We start from the raw sequence: 18420 nt of genomic DNA on the forward strand, positions 1-18420 counted from the left end.
ATACTTGTAAAGCATAGCTAGCAATAATATAAAAGATATATATATTATATATAAGAATATAAAAGATAAAAGATATATAAAAGATCTTTTATATTCTTTTTATATAATATAAAAGATAATATATCAAGAAAAATTTCTTTTATTGTAGGAAAGCAAAGTTAAAGATTTGAAAAAGCAGTTAATGTAATTAATCATATTAATTAACAATAAAGGAGAAAAATCATATAATTATTGCAATAAATTTAGTAAAAGCATTTGATAAGATGCAACACCCATTCATGATTAAAATCACTCAGTAAACTAGTACAGCGTGATAATTCCCAATCCAAAAACCTGAAATGCTCCAAAATCCTAAACTTTTTGAACACCAACATGGAGTGCAAGGGAAATGCTCATTGTAGTGTTTAGGATTTCAGATTAGAGATACTAAACTGGTGTAATGCAAATAATTCAAAATTTAAAAAAATCGAAAATTGGAAACATTTCTGGTTCTAAGCATTTCACATAAGAGCTACTCAACCTGTACTAAAAGGTAATTATTATTTTTCATTCTGATAAGGGACACCTACGAAAACTCTACAGCAAACTATATGTTAATTATAAAATATTAAAATGTTTTTACCCAAGGATCTGGAATAAAGGAAGGTGTTCCATTTTCACTATTTACATTTAGCATTGTAATGAAAATCTTAGCATTGCAAGAAAGCAAGAAAAATACCTTGTTCATATTCACTTATATAGTTTTTTTGCTAGATTCCTTTTGATTTCTGAGATACACAGTCATATTGTCTGCAAATAATGACAGTTGTACTTCTCCTTTTTTTCTAAATTCTGTGTAGCCAGGAATGCCATCGCAATACTGATTCATTGTAGTCATTACTGCACACACTTTGCAGTTTGCACTGATGGTCCCACTGATACTGAATACTGTCCTTAAAAATTTTTGGAAATGAGATGAACTTGCCACTACCTATTAGCTGAATTGCTAAATGGATTCCCCACCATCTCCTGTCTCTAACTTCCCCTTACCTAACCTAATTTGCATACTACCTGAGTAACAAGAAAGGCCGTGTTGCTTACTACCTTAGTTGCAGAGGAGGCTTGGAAATGTGATTATATGGCATTTGCAGCAGCTTTAAGGTAATAGATGGAATGGAGTTTCTTGTTTGTCAGACAGATAGAATGACAGTTTCCATAGAAAGTAGAGGGAGTACTTTCTAAAGAGGTCAAAAGCTGTAAAAGAGATTATCTGAGGGATCTATTTACTATTTCCTAAGATTCTCCAGACTTGACACTTATATTAAACCACAGTATTGTGAAACTATTTATTTAGACCACATTGTTTTATCTCCCTGTGTTTATAGAGCTATATCACGATTTTCTGTCTGTAATAGTCTCTCACCCTTCCACATTCTTTGCCTGGTAGAGACTTTCAAGACCTTACTGAGGTTAATTTATATGCAATAAAATGTACCTATGTTGTATGTATAATATGTAATTAAATGTATACTTTGCATTTTAACAAATGTGTGATAAATTGTTAGAATATAAATTGATACTGTCTTTTCAGAAAATAATTCGGCTGTGTGAAGTAAATATTTAAAATTTAAAATACTCTGACCCAGCGACCCACTTCTAGGAATCTATTATCTAAAAGTAACAGAGTAGATACACAAGGGTATACTCAAAAGGATGTTTAATTGCAGTACCGTTTGTAGTAGAAAATATTTGAAAAAGACCTGAATATTCATCCATAGGAGAGTGACTGAATAAATTGATATATCTGTTACCATAGGATAAAATTAAACTATAAACCTAAATTTGTATATTTTAACGAGGAAAAATGTGCTTGATGTATTCAGTGACTAAAGCAAGTTATAGACCAGTAGTTGGTTACAGCTGTGTGTGTGTGTGTGTGTGTGTGTGTGTGTGTGTGTGTGTGTGTGTGTATCCATTCAGTCAGCTAGTCATCACAGTATTTTGCCAAGAAATAATGGCACCTTGGACTAAGATGGTGTTGTAGAGATGAGAGATATAAATGATTTCAGGGTATTTTGGAGATAAATTTAAAAGGATTGGGTGATACGTGGAGGGGGGTATAAAACAGAAGGAATTGATTTTGTCTCTCAGGTTTCTGTTTTTGGTGCTAGATTGATGGTACGATAGTTATTAAATATCAAATGCTTAAAGAATACTAGATTAGAGGGGGAAGATCATGAGTTAATTTTAGGTATTTTGAGTTTGAGGATTTTTTTATATTTAAGCGAAAATAAGTAGTAGAGAGATGTAATGGGTCTGGTGTTCAATGGAGAAGTATTGACTGGAGATATAAGTTTGGGAGTCAGTTGCTGGGTAGCTGATAATTGAAATCAAGCACATTGTGAAATTGTCCAGAGAGACAATTTAGGATAGGAAGAGAAAGGGGCCTAGAATTAAGCCCCAAGAAATACAACATCAAAGGCCAGATAGATGAGGATAAACCAAAGGAAGCAGGGAGATTATAGGATTATTGAACACAGAGGAAGCATGTATTTTAAGGAAGAACTCGTGAATAATAACAAAATGCTTTTGCTCACATGTGTGGTCAATCCTTAATAAGATCTGTTTCAGTGAAATGATGGCAGCAGAAGCCATGTTGGAATAGGTTGAGGAGTGAATAGAAAGGAGAGGATATGGATATAGTAAATTAGACAATTTTGTAAAACTGGAAAAGTTACTTGTGTTATTATGTCAGTAGCAGCCAAACATGGAATAAAAATCCAGCTACTTAATTGTATGTTATGTATAGAAAAAAAGGATGGAAATACATAAAAACATTAATGTATTTGGTTCAAGATAGAGGAACTGTTTATGATTTAAACTTTTTTATTTTTTCTATTTTTGAAACTAAGCAAATATTTTGTAATAGATAATAAAATATGGATTATTGGCCTTGCGCGGTGGCTCATGCCTGTAATCCCAGCACTTTGGGAGGCCGAGGCGGGCGGATCACCTGAGGCTGGGAGTTTGAGACCAGCCTGGCCAGCATGGTGAAACCCTCTCTCTACTAAAAATATAAAAATTAGCTAGGCGTGGTGGCAGATGCCTGTAATCCTGGCTACTCGGGAAGCTGAGGCAGGAGAATCACTTGAACCTGGGAGGTGGAGGTTGCAGTGAGCCTAGATCACGCTGTTGCACTCCAGCCTGGGCAACAGAGTGAGACTCCGTTTCAAAAAAAAATGTATATGGATTATTTATTTTTCAGAAGTCTAGTCAAGAGACAGAATCCATCTAGTTACTTGAACAGAGAAAATTTAATATAAAGATTAATTAGGTATAAAGTTGTTAACTAGGTAAATGCTAGATTAAAAAGAATACTCTGTAGGAATCATAGAGGTGGCTCCTACAGGAAGCAAACAGGGTTGACATAATATGGGGAAGAGGTTTTAATTAGTAAAACTTAGAAACCTTAAGAGGAAGGGGTATCCGAAGCTGAAACTCAGACCCCTGAAGAGAGTGGGCTAGCAGGTTATTGCTGGTGCTGATGTCTTTGGGGTGGGTGATAATGACTGATGTCTTTGAGGGTGATAAAACTGGTTCTACAAGTATTGGAAAAACTTCCAAATGGATCCAGCTGCTGCTATAGGAAGGGACTCCCCTTGCTGATGTGAAGGCTTAGAAAAGCAATCCAGCACTGGGGCCTGAGCATATCCCTGCACATTTGTGCTAGAAGTACCAGGAATGCAAGTCCCTGACTGCTCTTTATCCATATAATCACAATTGTGCTTGTAGGGATGAGGTAATGTCCACCCTGGATAAACAGGCTTACTTTCGCTTACTATAGAAGAGATACCACAAGCTGAGTGTTCTCCTATAATGTAACCCACTGTGTGTACAGGCATTCATCATGGGCCCTGTGCATCATCCCAGTGTGATTGGGGTGGAGGTGGGGCATGTATAGTCCAATGCAAATGAACTTGAAGCTTTGGCTGCTACTTTTCTATAAATAATAAAGCCTTTTATCTCTGACCCAGTAGTCTTGTGTCTTCTGCCAACATTTATAAAACTGTGAAAGGCTGACTTATTAGCTTGCAAATATAATAAAATCTTAGATTTCATTATGAGTTTTAAAATTATTATTTGCAGGTTCATTTTAAGAGGGAAGTGTGTGTGAATGTGTTTCTGTCTCTTTGTGTTAACCCTCAGTTTTGCAGTGACCTTCACTTGGTTCTGAGGAACAGCCATCTAGCCTTTAAGGGTACTCGTGCTCTCTCAGTGATACTGAAAAATTTATCCAGAATGAAGTATAGAGAGTCAAAGAGGGAAAATAAGCAAAAGAGTTGAGAGATGAAAATAGATTGAGAGGTTTCAGAGAATATTTGGAAGAAGTCTCAGATGAGTTTAATGGAACAAATAATATGTGAAAAGATAAGAACAAAGAGGAAATATTAAAAGCTACCAAAGAGAAAGGGCTGATTACTTAAAAAAGAATGACAGCTGACAGTGGAGTTCTCAGTAGTAATTGAAGTCAGAAGATTTTAGAGTAGTATCTTTAAACTGCTGAGATAAAATAGCTACCAACCCAGAATTTGAATCTGTCATTCAAGAGGGAAGGTACAAGATAAAAGACAAAGAGGTATACACATCAATTAATAAAATATTTTTGAGGAATTTAAATATTAACTATAAAAATTAAGATTAGATAATGCAAGGTGTAGGAGTGTGTGTGCGTGTGTGTGTGTGGTCAAGAACATGGACTCTAGAGCTGGATTGTCTAGGTTTAAATTCAGACTAACTGCTTAACTACCTGTATGACCTTGTGAAATACATTACTTATTCATTTTATATCAGTTTTTCTACTCTGTAAAATGGGGGCAAAATTAATACTTATCTCACTGGCTTGTTGTGAGGATTAAATGAGTTAATATGTTTGTCATCATCATCACCATCATTATCCCAACATTTTTGTAGAACATATTAAAAAGTCCTTAAAGCCCTTGTATATTAATATCACATATTAGGGGGCTAGAGTTGGTATGGAAATGGGAGGAGAAAATTTGTTTATTTTAAATCTCCACCTTTTGTCTTAATTTATTCAACACTTGTTGAGCATCTGCTATATGCTAGGCACTCTTCTAAGCATTGAAAACAAATTTAAAACAAATTGTTGTACCCCTATGGCTTATGGTTTACTGTGGGGTAATAGGCAATAAATAAATAAGATAGATATGTGAGAGAGCATGTATGTATACACATATACAGTCATGTACCACATAACTGTGTTTCAGTCAACAATGGATATGTTGGTGGTTGCATGAAATTATAATGGAGCTGCAAAATTCTTATTTCCTAGTGATGTTTTAATGATCCTGACCCTGTGTAGGCCTAGGCCAATGTTTGTGTTTGTGTCTTAGTTTTTAACAAAAAAGTTTAAAAAGTAAAAAAAAAATTTTAATAGAAAGTAGCTTATAGGATCAGGATATAAGGAAAGAAAATCTTTTTGTACAGCTGTAAAATATATTTGTGTTTTTAAGCTAAATGTTATTATAAAAGAGTCAAAGAGTTAAAAAGAAAAACCCTAAAACGTTTATATGGTAAGGTTACAGTAAGCCAAAGTTAATTAATTATTTTGAAGGATAATTGTAAAAAATAAATTAGTGTAGCCTAAGTGTACAGTGTTTAAATCTACAGTAATGTTCAGTAATGTCCTAGGCCTTCACATTCACTCACCACTCATCCTCTGACTCGCCAGAGAATTTTCAGTACTGCAGGTTTCGTTCATGGTCAGTGCCCTGTACAGATATACCATTTTTAATCTTGTATTCTGTATTTTTACTGTACTTTTTCTATGTTTAGGTAAACAAATACTTACCATTGTGTTAAAATTACCTACAACGTTCGATACAGTAACATGCTATATAGGTTTGTAGTATAGGAGTCATAGGCTGTACCATATAACCTAGATGTGTGGTAGGCCTTACCATCTAGGTTTGTGTAAGTATACCCTATGATGTTTGCACAATGACAAAATTGCCTAATGATGCATTTCTTAGCACTATCTCTGTCATTATACATGATGGAACATACACTGTTAGCAGTAAGCACCAAGGAGAAAAATAAAGTGGGATGGGGCATAAAGGAGTTTAAATTTCAAATAGGATGGTTAGGGAGTCCATGAAAAGGTAACATTTGTGTGAAGACCTGAAGGAGATTAGTGGGTGAGGATATTTTTTGTAAGAACATTTAATAGGCATAGCAAATAAAAAGACAGTGAAACGAAAACATACCTGGCATCCTTAGAGAACAACAAAAGAGGCGAGTGGAGCTAATGTAGAGTGACTGAGGGACAGAGTGAATGAAGGAGAGTGCATGAAGGAGGGGGTGAAGCCATAGAAGGTAATGGGGATACATCTTTGATATAGGTATATACCCTTATTAAGGACTGTGGCTTTTGCTCTGAGATAGGGAGCCATTTGAGGGTTCTAAACTGTTGACTTCTATTTAACACTCCCACATTGACTGCTAGATTGAGAATAGGCTGCAAAAATATTATCTTAGTAACTTAAGTACTCTAATAGAGAAAACAGGCATAAGAAGCATATATAGATCCTAATGTCACTTCCCTCCTCAAGAAACTACAGTGGTTCTATGTTACCTATTGTGTTGTCTTACTTTTTTTTTTTTGGAGACAGAGTCTTGCTCTGTTGCCCAGGCTGGAGTGCAGTGGCGTGATCTCGGTTCACTGCAACCTCCGCCTCCCGGGTTCAAATGATTCTCCGGCCTCAGCCTCCTGAGTAGCTGGGACTATAGGCGCGCACCACCACACCTGGCTAATTTTTTGTGTTTTTAGTAGAGATGGGGTTTCACCATGTTGGCCAGGCCAGCCTCAAACCTCTGGCCTCAAGTGATCCACCCACCTTTGCCTCCCAAAGTGCTGGGATGATAGGGGTGAGCCACCACGCCCAGCCTAACTTTCGTTACTTATACTTTAAAGCTCTTTGTGTTAACAAGATATCATGAAAAAGCCACTCATAAATTGCTGGTAGAAGTATAAATTAGTAAAGCATATATGGAGGGCAAATTGGTAGTAACTTACCAAAATTTCAAATGCTTATACTGATTGAGACAACAAATTCACTTCTGGAATTTATCTTAGATAGCCATATACTGTAGAAACAAATTAAATGTCCATTAATAGAGGACTGAGTAAATAAATTACAGTGTATCCATAAAAGAGGAAATTCTGCAGCCACCAAAGAGAATGAGCTGGTAGTCCTTTGTAGGCTGCTTTGGAAAGCTCCCCAAGGTACAAAACAATATGTTAAAGTAACAAGTTCAGAATGTGTGATATTCTGTGTTAGAGAGAGACAAAGACTCTGAGTGTGTGTAAATTGCAACAGAATTTCTGTTTTTGTGAGGTTTGGGAATGAGGATTTTATGTGACATGACCAGGAACCATGTATACCATGGGACTGATTTGGCACAAAATACAAAGAAGCTAACAGGTGGTTGCATTGTAAAAGGAATTGTGTGGCTGAGGGACAGAACTGAAAAAGAGACTTAATTTTTTACTTTTGATACTTTTTGGATTTTGTATTATTTGCCTGCATTGCATACTGAAAACTAATTTGCAGTTGCCTACCAAAATATTTTTCTGAAAATAGGGAAGATAAGTCTAAAATATATTGTTAAAGAGTTTATATATTTATAAATTAAGATTTATATACTATGTAAGGGATTTTTTCTCAATGACATTAGGGTGTTGTTTTCTTTTAGACCTGTCTACTATAACTGTTTATATGTTAATTGCTATTAATGATACAATATTTTTAGTTGAAAATTAGACAATATATTATTGGTTTATTCTGGAAGTGAATTGAGCATGCTTTCTATTTAGAAAAAGTTCATAGGTCATTTTATCAGTTTTAATTTTATATGTAGAAAAGATATGATACAAAATGTGTGATTAACAAAGATATAGTATTAATATTAGTTTCTAGATAAGAAAGTTGATTTCTTTGTCTTTATGGTAAACAGAAGCAATACTGTTTGCTCTATAAGGTAACTTGTGTTTACTAACATGTAAATGTTAATAAAGAGAGAACTGATTTTACATTTGCTTTTCCTAATTAATGAGATGAATATGAGAACATTATTACAACTTTGACTTTAAATTATAATGTTTTTCTTTGGGGTTTTGATGTTAAAGTAGATATTGAAGGAAATGGTAAATTGTAGATGTGTGAATATATCTAATTAAAAGTTCTGCTAAGAAGCTTGTGCCTTGTTGAGGGAACTTTGGAACATCTTAATGAGGGACAGAGTGAATGAAGGAGAGTGCATGAAGGAGAGAGTAATGGGGATGCATTACCTCTATGATATTTCCTTATCTACTTGTACATATTTCTCTCTAATATTTTCTATCCCCAGTAATGTTGGTATGCTTTGTTATAATATAATCTCAACTCAAAATTTTGATTCATTCCAGATCTTCAACTACTTATTATATTATTAGAAGAATCTAATAATATTTTTATCAAAAGTATTTGGCTGCAGTAAAAAGATGGAATTTTAAATAACTACTCAATTTGGAGACCATTTGAGAGGGGATAGACTTGATGCATATAAGAGAATGTGCTACTTTTCCTAATAGAACATTATGACCCAGTCACAGTTTGGAATCTGTAAGTCAGTGGTCTCTAAAGTTACGTACACACACTTACCTATTGGGATATACTAAGAAAATAGTAGAAATTTTTCTATATACATCTTGATAATACTACATGCTAAGAAAATAGTAGAAATTTTACTATCTATATGATTTTAAAAGTTTGGAAACCACTGATATTTAGGCAATTATTTTTGGATACCAAAAAAGCAGCAATTGGAACTGACAAATGAAGCATTTATAACTCTCAAAGTAAACTTAGTATGTGAACTCAAATGTTTTCTTTCCTTTTCTATCATATGATTAAACCTTGATGGAAAATTTTGAGACATAACATATTCAGAGTAATTTAAGGGCATTTATGCAAATTGAGTTACCTCTTTCTTTTGTTTATATTTTGAACTAAACCTGTTTACCTTGGATGAAAAGTCCATAGCCTAATGTTTCTTCTTAAATTTTTTGCCAGATGAAAATAGACTATCAACACCAAAACTATGTCCTTCCTTTTCAATTAATTGTTGTTTTAGGCCTTTTGCATGGTTAGCTTTCCTTAGTATCCAGTTTGCAAACATGCTCTCTGATTGCCAAATGCTGCCTGGTACCAATGAGATGCTTTTTCCTACCCTGTGCTCCCGTGTACCCAGTACCTTGTGCTATGTATACTATGAGAGAGAGAGCAATAAGTAAATGCTTACTAATGGCTATAATTTATGAATATTCATGTTTTAAATCTCAGATATTCAAGATTAAAGCAGTGCAATTGGCTGAGAAACTCCTTCCTGCCTTTAACACACCTACTGGGATTCCTTGGGCAATGGTGAATTTGAAAAGGTAACTCTATGTGGGTATTCTTATTCTGGAAGAATTATTTTGACCTTTTTAGTCTTAGAAATTTCTAATGAGTCACCCCCACATTTTTTTTAAAGACATATTGTTTTTCTCTCTATATATAATCTTTGTTTTCTTTTGTGTATATGCATAAATGTGTTTCTTTAAAACATTTTCTGATTTTTAAAATAAGTCCTTTGAAACAGGTTAATTGTCTTAACTTGATTGCAGTTTTTACTACTCGTTTCTGTAAGTCTAGATTTCTCTTCCTCACCTGTATGGTATACAATATTTGTTTCTTTTATTTGCTTATTCATTTCCATTTAGTGCTAGAATAGAGTCAAAGTACATCCTCCCTCTTTTTCTTTTTATATACCACCTCCTGATCTTCTAAGTGAAAATAGAAAATAATATACCTAGAAATGAGGGCTTCCTATTGCTGAATGTCATATTAAAGATAAAGAAAGACGTAATTTATGATGTTGACTGCGGGGTTTTTATTATAGCATCTACACTAGTGAAGTTCAAAGTGAACTCTTAAGCATCAATCTTTATAATCTGTTTTCTAATCGAAAACATTGGTTTTTTACTTAGAAATAGATGAAATGTTTTCTTTGGACAACTTTATAAATTATGTAGAGATATACAATTAACATTTGAATAATGTCAACATATTTGAACTTGCATTTAAGTAATTTATGCTGACTGAAATTTGTTGTGCTCATTTTTTCTCCTAGTAAAATTTATTCATCATAATGTTGGAATTTGGAAATTACCTAAAAATTTGATTGTTGTTCTCTTTGCACTCAGACCCTTTAGAATAAAAGTTAGGAACATTTATTTTTCTGGAGATGTGAATCTATGACATTATTTTTAGAAACGACTCGACTTTAGTAAAATTTTTCTAATTGAAGAACTTTATTGAGTTTAGATTTACATTGAGATGTCAGCAGCATTTAATACTGAACATTAAATCTAACTTTACTATCTCTGATTTCATGCACTATGTATAGTGCAGATTACCTCTTTGGTGAGGAAAAAGCTGGCTGAAGTTCCAGAGCAAGCTCCATGGAAGGATATGGCCAAGTGATGTTGTGTATACGCTTGTTCTCGTTCCTTAGTTTTGTGACAGATTTTGTGATATTTCCTTCAGGATCATCGTCAGAATCAGACATTATTATCTACTTAGATAATAATTAAAACTTAATTCCGATAGGAAGACAGACTGGAGGCTCTTTTTTTGTCTACATAGAGGAAAAGAACTTGAAAATCAAGATTAAATTGCAGAACTTCTAATTTAAGATTGAGATTAAAGTAAAAAGGTTTCCAAGGACCATGTTGTGAGCTTTTTATAAGATTAATTTTAATTTAATTTCTTTGGTATGTAAACAAATACATAATTTTACTTGAGTTTTTATATCATGAATGTAATTATTTACCTATTTAAAACTTTTTAAGTAAATTTTTTGCAGAGAAGGGATCTTATTTTGTTGCCTAGGCGGATCTCGAATTCCTAGGCTCAAGTGATCCTCCTACCTCAGTGCTGCGATTATAGGTGTGAGCCACTGCACCTAGCATTATTTACCTGTTTTTGAAAATTTTTTTTTTTTTGGCTGGGGTCTACGCATTTCCCACACATAGGCCTTCCCTTAGTCTTGATGACTGAAAGCCAACCCATCTTAATAATCTATCATATTTATCTTCTACAATATGATACAGCAGACAGAAACAAAAGCAGAGCTTTTTTTGTAATGTTTATTTGGTTTATCACTTTAATGGCTTGCTTTTCTGCTTCTTATCTTTCTCACTCAATAATACTCCATGGAAATACGATTCCAGGTTACTCAATAAAGATCTAAATAAATCTTTGTGATGAATACCAAGTGAGAAATGGGATAGTTATACTATAATTTATTCATTAATTTTCATATCAGTGGTATTTGTTTCCATTATTTTCCTACCACAAACATTGCTACAATAGCATCCTGTTATACATGTTCTTGTGTAGTAGGAATTTTATTTCTTGGAAAATGGTTCTCAAGAATACAATTGCTGGATTAAAAAGCATCTGCTTTTTTTTTTTTTTTAATCTGTGGGACAGATTTCTAGATGTAGCGTTCCTGGATCAAAGGGATATGTATTTTTAAATTTAATAGATATTGCCAAAATGTGTTCCAGAAAGGCTGTAGTACATTTCCACCAACAATATGTGAGAGTCTCTAAATGTCTGCAGGTATAAATTCTTTTTAATTTTTGACACGATGGTTGCTATAAAATCTTCATTGTATTTTCTGACTAGTGAATTTTGAACATCCTTTTCATAAATTTATTGGGCATGTAGATTTGCTTTTTGGTGAATTGTCTATTCCTAAGTCTTGCTTGAGTTCTTTGTCTTTTTCTAATTAATTTATAAAGTGTTTTGTAGATTATATAATTAATTCTCCTCTCTCTACTCTTCTGTTGGTCTGTTGTCTTTATAATAATATATGACTCATAAGTTTTAAGCTTATATATACAAATATATGTTTTATAACTTTTAGTTTACAGTCTTGGTTAAAAAATTGTCTCCATCTATATTTTTTACATTCTTCGAGATTTCCATAAAAGCTTTGAAATACTGCTTTTCTAAAAGAATTGAAGTATGGCATTAGTTGTGGAGTTTTCATCAGTTATATCAATTTCCTTTATCACATTGAGGAAATTTCCTTCTATTCCTATTTCACTGAGATGTTCTTGTTGTTGTTTTATCATGAATGGATGTTAAATGTTGCCAGATACTTTTTTTCCATCTATGGAGATAATCATAAGGTTTTTCACCTTTATTCTTTTAATATGGTAAATTACTTGTAAGATTTTCAAATGTTAAATCAACCTTGAATTCCTTAGATATTCCTTGGCCATAATGTATCCTTTTTATATTTTGCTGTATTTTATTTCCTAATACCCTTTGAAATTATATGATGGATATTGGTAGGAATTTTATTTTTGGAATGCCTTTGTCAGATTTTGGTGTGAGTTACCTGGTCTTATTAAATGAGATATTATTAAATTATTAAAATTTTTGTTTGCAGAAATAATTCGTGGAGTGCTGTAGTTACTTCTTTCTTAACTGTTTGATAGATAGACCTAAATGCAACTACCTGAGCCAGAAATTTTCTTTGTTGGAAAGTTTTTAATAACAAATTAAAATTTGTGTGTGTGTGTTTGGAGGGGGCTGGTTTAGAGACAAGGTCTTGCGCTTTTGTATCGACTGGAGTACAATGGCACAATCACAGCTCACTGCAGCCTTGACCTGCCGGGCTTAAGTGATCCCCCCATCTCAGCCTCTCTAGTAGCTGAGACTACAGGTGTGTGACACCACACCTAGGTAATTTTGTTTATTTTTGTAGAGGTGGGCTCTCACTGTCTTGCCTAGTCTGGTCCCAAACTCCCGAGCTCAAGTGATCCTCCCTCCTTGGCCTCCCAAGGTGCTAGGATTACAGGTGTGAGCCACTGCACCCTGCCCAAATTTTCATATTTGTGTGTGTGTGTGTGTGTATGTGTGTGTGTGTCTGTGTGTGTGTATATATATATATATGTATATATGTAAATTTATATGTATACATATAAAAGAAAATTTATATATAAATTTATATATATTTATATATGATATATAAACATATATCTTATATTCAGATTTTGTTTTATTTTGTGTCAGTTTTAGTTAATTTTAAAGAAATTTCTTCATTTCACTTAAATTAGAAAATTTGGTGTAAAGTCGTTCTTGTGTTACTTTGTTTTACCTTTCATCTTTGTAGATTCTATAGCAACAACCACTTTCATTCCTGATTCTAGTAATTTGTATTCTTTCTTTTCTCTTTACTAGTTTAATGAGGCATTTGTCAATTTTGTTAATCTTTTCAAAAAAGTACTTCTGTTTTTGTTAATTTTTACTTTTTTTTGGTTTTATTGATTTCTGGTTTATTTTTATTATTTCCTTCTCTTTTCTTATTGGAGCTACTTTGCTCTTTTTCTGGCTCCTTACATTGGAACTGTAGGTTGTATCTTTCTACACTGATCTTATATCTTTCTCTCTTTTCCCCCCATAAACTACTGTTTTTCTATAGAGCTATAAATTTCCCTCCAAGGACTGCTGTAGCTGCATTCCAGAAATTTTGATTTTTTTTGTTATTATTCAGTTCAAAATAATTTCTCATTTCCTGTAGAATTTTTTCTTCAATGCATTAGTTTTTTATAATTGTGTGGTTCAATTGCCAAATTTTAGGACGTTTCTTAGATATCTTATTGTTTTGATTTCTAATTTAATTTCATTGTGATCATAAAAATTACAATTTGAATCCTTTCAAATTTATTACAACTTGTTTATAGCTCCGCATATGGTCTTTCTTGGTAAATACACTTGATAAGGAAGTGTATTCTGCAGTTGTTGGGTATAACATTCTGTATATATCAGTTAGGTTAAGGTGGTTAATGGTGTTTAGATCATGTATATCTTTCCAGATTTTTTTTTGGTATAATTGTTTTATGCATTCCTGAAACGAAGTGTCAAAATATCCCAAGTATGATTGTGGAATTGTCTCTTCTCTATTTCTGTCAATTTTTTGCTTCATGCATTTTGACGAAGCTTTACTCTTAAGTACTTACACGTTTATTATATGCTTTCTGATTACTTGAGCCTTTTGTTATTCCACTGTGTCTTCATCTCTGGTAATGTTTTTGTCTTGAAGTTTATCAGATATTAATGTAGCTGCTCTACTTTATGCTTACTGTTTTCATGGTTTATCTCTTTTTTTCCATTTATTTTCAGCTTCACTGTATTGTTTTAACTATAGTTCTGCTTTTGGAGACAGCATATAGTTTGGATCATAATACAAATTTTGTTATTCAGTCTGACAATATTGACATTTTACATCATTTAGCAATAGATCTAAAAAATTATTCTGTATCAACACTTTATATATAATCTCATTATTTTTAAGAGCTTCATAATATAATGCTTATGAAAATGTTGTGACTTAAAATTAATTCTGTATTAGTGAACTATTAGATTATTTCTAGATTTTAATATTATCAAAAAATATTGGAAGAAGTATCCTGCATATGTTGGGAATGGTGTGTGTGTGTATGTGTACATAGACATGTGTTGGTATGACTTTAGTAGAAATAGTGGATCAAAGAATTAAATACATTTTTTCTGTTGATAGGTACTGTCTTCTAGAGAGGATATGCCAGTTGACATTTCCTTAATAAGTGTGTGAGAATGGCTCTTATCGAACCTTTTGAAAATATGGTTTACTTTTATTTATCAGATAGATAAATATAAAATCTTGTTCCAATGTTTATTAATTTTTGAGTGAGATTGAATTTATTTTATTCAGTAGATAGCCTTTTTATGTCCTTTGTTTGTTTTTTATTGGCTATTTTTTAAAAAATCAGTCCTTAAGGTATTTTTGTGTATTAGCTAGATTAGTACTTTGTCATATAAATTGCACATTTTTTTGCTATTAGTAGTATAGTTTGAAGTTGGGTAATGTGATGCCTCCAGCTTTGTTCTTTTTGCTTAGGAATGTCCTGGCTATCCGAGCTCTTTTTTGATTCCATATGAATTTTAAAATAGTTTTTTCTAATTCTGTGAAGAATGTCAGTGATTTAATGGAAATAGCATTGAATCTATAAATTGTTTTGGGCAGTATGGTCATTTTCGTGATATTGATTCTTTCTATCCATGAGCATGGAATGTTCTCCCATCTGCTTGTATCCTCTCTGAGTTCCTGGAGCAGTGGTTTGTAGTTCTCCTTGAAGAGGCCCTTCACTTCCCTTGTTAGCTCTATTCCTGAATATTTTATTCTCCTTGCGGCAATTCTGAACGGGAGCTTATTAATGATTTGGCTCTCTGCTTGTCTGAATATGTTTAAAAGAAAACTGAACATGTTTTAAAGAAAGAAAATAAAATTCAGATATCCAACAATATACTTTTATAATATCCGTAATCCAATCCAAAATTACTTTACTTTATGGCATGCAAAGAAGCAGCAGAAAAATGTAGCTCATTATTCTGTAGCCCAGAGAAAAATCTGTTCATAGAAACAGACATGGAAATAACAGAGGTGATGGAGATAGCAGTAAAGGACTTTACATAGCTATTGTAAGTGTGCTTGAGGATTTAAAGGCAAATGTGAAGAATGAGAAAAGAGATTTTAAAAAGGACCAAAGTGGAACTTCTAAAGGTGAGAAATATATGAAATAAAAAATTTACTTGACAAGCTTGAAGGCAGATTTGACACTGCATCAGAAAAGATCAGTGAGCTTGAAGACAAAACAATAGAAACCACCTAAACTGAAGCACAGAAAGAGAAATAAAAAAGCTGGAGTATGGAGAGAAGCATATCCAGTGACCTATGGGGCAGTGTCAGATGGTTTAACATACCTGTAATGGAGTGATGGGAGTGGCGAATTTGGGAGTGGGAGGAGTGGCAGAAAAACTACAAGCATGAATTGTTTTATTGTGCTTCACTTAATTGTTCTTTGCAGATATTCTTTTTTTCCTTTTTCTTTTTTTTAAACAAATTGATGATTTGTGTCAACTCTGTGTTGAGCAAGTCTATCGGGGCTATTTTTCCAACAGCATATATCACATTTTGATAATTGTCACAATATTTTAAAACTTTTCATTATTATTACATCTGTTATAGTAATATGTGATCGGTGATCTTTCTTATTACTCTAGGGCACCATGAGCAAGCAGTCATAGATGATGGCAAACTTAATCACTAAATGTTGTCTCTGTTCTGACGGCTCCACAGATTGGCCATTCTCCCTTCTCTCTCCTTCTCCTTGGGCTTCCCTACTCCCTGAGACAGAACAATGCCAATAAATAACCTTTCAGTGGCCTTGATGTATTCAAGAGACAAGAAGAATAGCATGTCTCTCACTTTAAATTAAAAGTTAGAAATAGGCTGGGCGTGGTGGCTCACACCTGTAATCCCAGCATTTTGGGAGGCTGAGGCATGCAGATTGCTTGAGCCTAGGAGTTCGAGACCAGCCTGGGCAACATAGTGAGACCCTGCCTCTACAAAAAATACAAAAATTAGCTGAGCATGGTGGTGTGTGCCTGTAGTACCAGTTACTTGGGAAGCCAAGGTGGGAGGATTGCTTGAGCCCAGGAAGCAGAGCTTGCAGTGAGCTGAGATCCTGCCACTGCACTCCAGCCTGGGTGACAGAGCCAGACCCTGTCTCAAAAAAAAAAAAAAAAGCTAGAAATAATTAAGCTTAGTGAGAAAGTCATGTCAAAAGCTGAGATAGGCCAAAAGCTAGGCCTCTTGTGCCAAACAGTCCGCCAAGTTGTGAATGCAAAGGAAGAGTTCTTGAAGGAAATTAACAATGCTATGCCAGTGAAACACAAGAATGATGAGAAAGTGAAATAGCCGTATTGCCAACATGGAGAAAGTTTGAGTGGTCTGTGTAGAAGGTGAACCCAGCTACAACATTCTCTTAAGCCAAAGCCTAATGCAGAGGAAGGCCCTAACTCTCTTCACGTCTGTGAATGCTAAGAGAGGTGAGGAAGCTGCAGGAGAAAAGTTTGAGGCTTGCAGAGGTTGGTTCACAAGGTTTAAGGAAGGAATCTGCCTCCAAAACTTAAAGGTGATGGGTGAAGCAGCAAGTACCAGTAGAGTGGGACATCGCTGAAAAGATGCCTGAAAATGTGGAACAACTTTGGAACTGGGTGACAGGCAGAGGTTGGAGAAGAAGAAGACAGGAAAATGTGGGAAAGTTTGGAACTTCCTTGAGACTTGTTGAATGGCTTTACCTAAAATGCTGATAGCGATATAGACAATAAAGACCAGGCTGAAGTGGTCTCAGATGGAAACGAGGAACTTCTTGGGAAATGAAGCAAAGGTGACTCTTGTTATGTTTTAGCAAAGAGACTGGTGGCATTTTGCTCCTGCCCTAGAGATGTGTGGAGCCTTGAACTTGAGAGAGATGATCTAGGGTATCTGGTGGAAGAAATTTCTAAGCAGCAAAGCATTCAAGAGGTGACTTGGGTGCTGTTAAAGGCATTCAGTTTTATAAGGGAAGCAGAGCATAGAAGTTCAGAAAATTTGCAGCCTGACAATGTGACAGAAAAGAAAAGCCCGTTTTCTGAGGAGAAATTCAAGCCTGCTGCAGAAATTTGCATAAGTAACAGGGAGCTGAATGTTAACCCCCAAGACAATGGGGCAAATGTCTCCAGGGCATGTCAGAGGTCTTCATGGCAGCCCCTCCCATCACAGGCCCAAGGCCTAGGAGGAAAAAGTGGTTTCGTGGGCCAGGCCCAGGGTCCCCTTGTGTGCAGCCTAGGGACTTGGTGCCCTGTATCCCAGCCTCTCTAGCTGTGGCTGAAAGGGGCCAACCTAAAGCTCAGACTATGGCTTCAGAGGGTGCAAGCCTCAAGCTTCCATGTGGTGTTGAGCCTGCCAGTGCACAGAAGTCAAGAATTGGGGTTTGGGAACCTCTGCCTAGATTTCACAGGATGTATGGAAATACCTGCCTGTCCAGGTAGAAGTTTGCTGCAGGGACACGACTCTCTCTCATGGAGAACCTCTGCTAGGGGAGGGCCGAAGGGAAATGTGGGGTTGGAGCCCCAACACAGAGTACCTGCTGGGGCACCACCTAGTGGAGCTGTGAGAAGAGGGCAACTGTCCTCCAGACCCCAAAATGGTAGATCCACCAACAGCTTGCATCATGCACCTGGAAAAGCTGTACTCAATGCCAGCCAGTTCAGGCACCCAGGAGGTTGGGCTATACCCTGCAAAGCCATAGGGGCAGAGCTGCCCAAGGCTGTGGGAGTCCTCCTCTTGCATCAGTGTGACCTGGATGTGAGACATGGAGTCAAAGGAGATCATTTTGGAGATTTAAGACTTGACTGACCCAATGGATTTCAGACTTGCATGGGGCCTGTAGCCCTT

General features: G+C 34.8%; 1 protein-coding gene across 4 annotated transcripts in view; it reads left to right on the forward strand.

Moving 5' to 3' along the window:
• MAN1A2 (mannosidase alpha class 1A member 2) overlaps positions 1-18420 on the forward strand; it is a 161424-nt gene that overhangs the window by 65399 nt on the left and 77605 nt on the right. For all 4 annotated transcript variants that reach the window (NM_006699.5, XM_006710302.4, XM_011540536.4 and 1 more), the window contains exon 6: positions 9384-9478. In NM_006699.5, the coding sequence (NP_006690.1) occupies positions 9384-9478 (95 nt within the window). The remainder of the gene's footprint in view (positions 1-9383; positions 9479-18420) is intronic.

The sequence above is a fragment of the Homo sapiens genome, chromosome 1 (genome assembly GCF_000001405.40).
Source record: "Homo sapiens chromosome 1, GRCh38.p14 Primary Assembly".
NCBI lineage: Eukaryota > Metazoa > Chordata > Mammalia > Primates > Hominidae > Homo > Homo sapiens.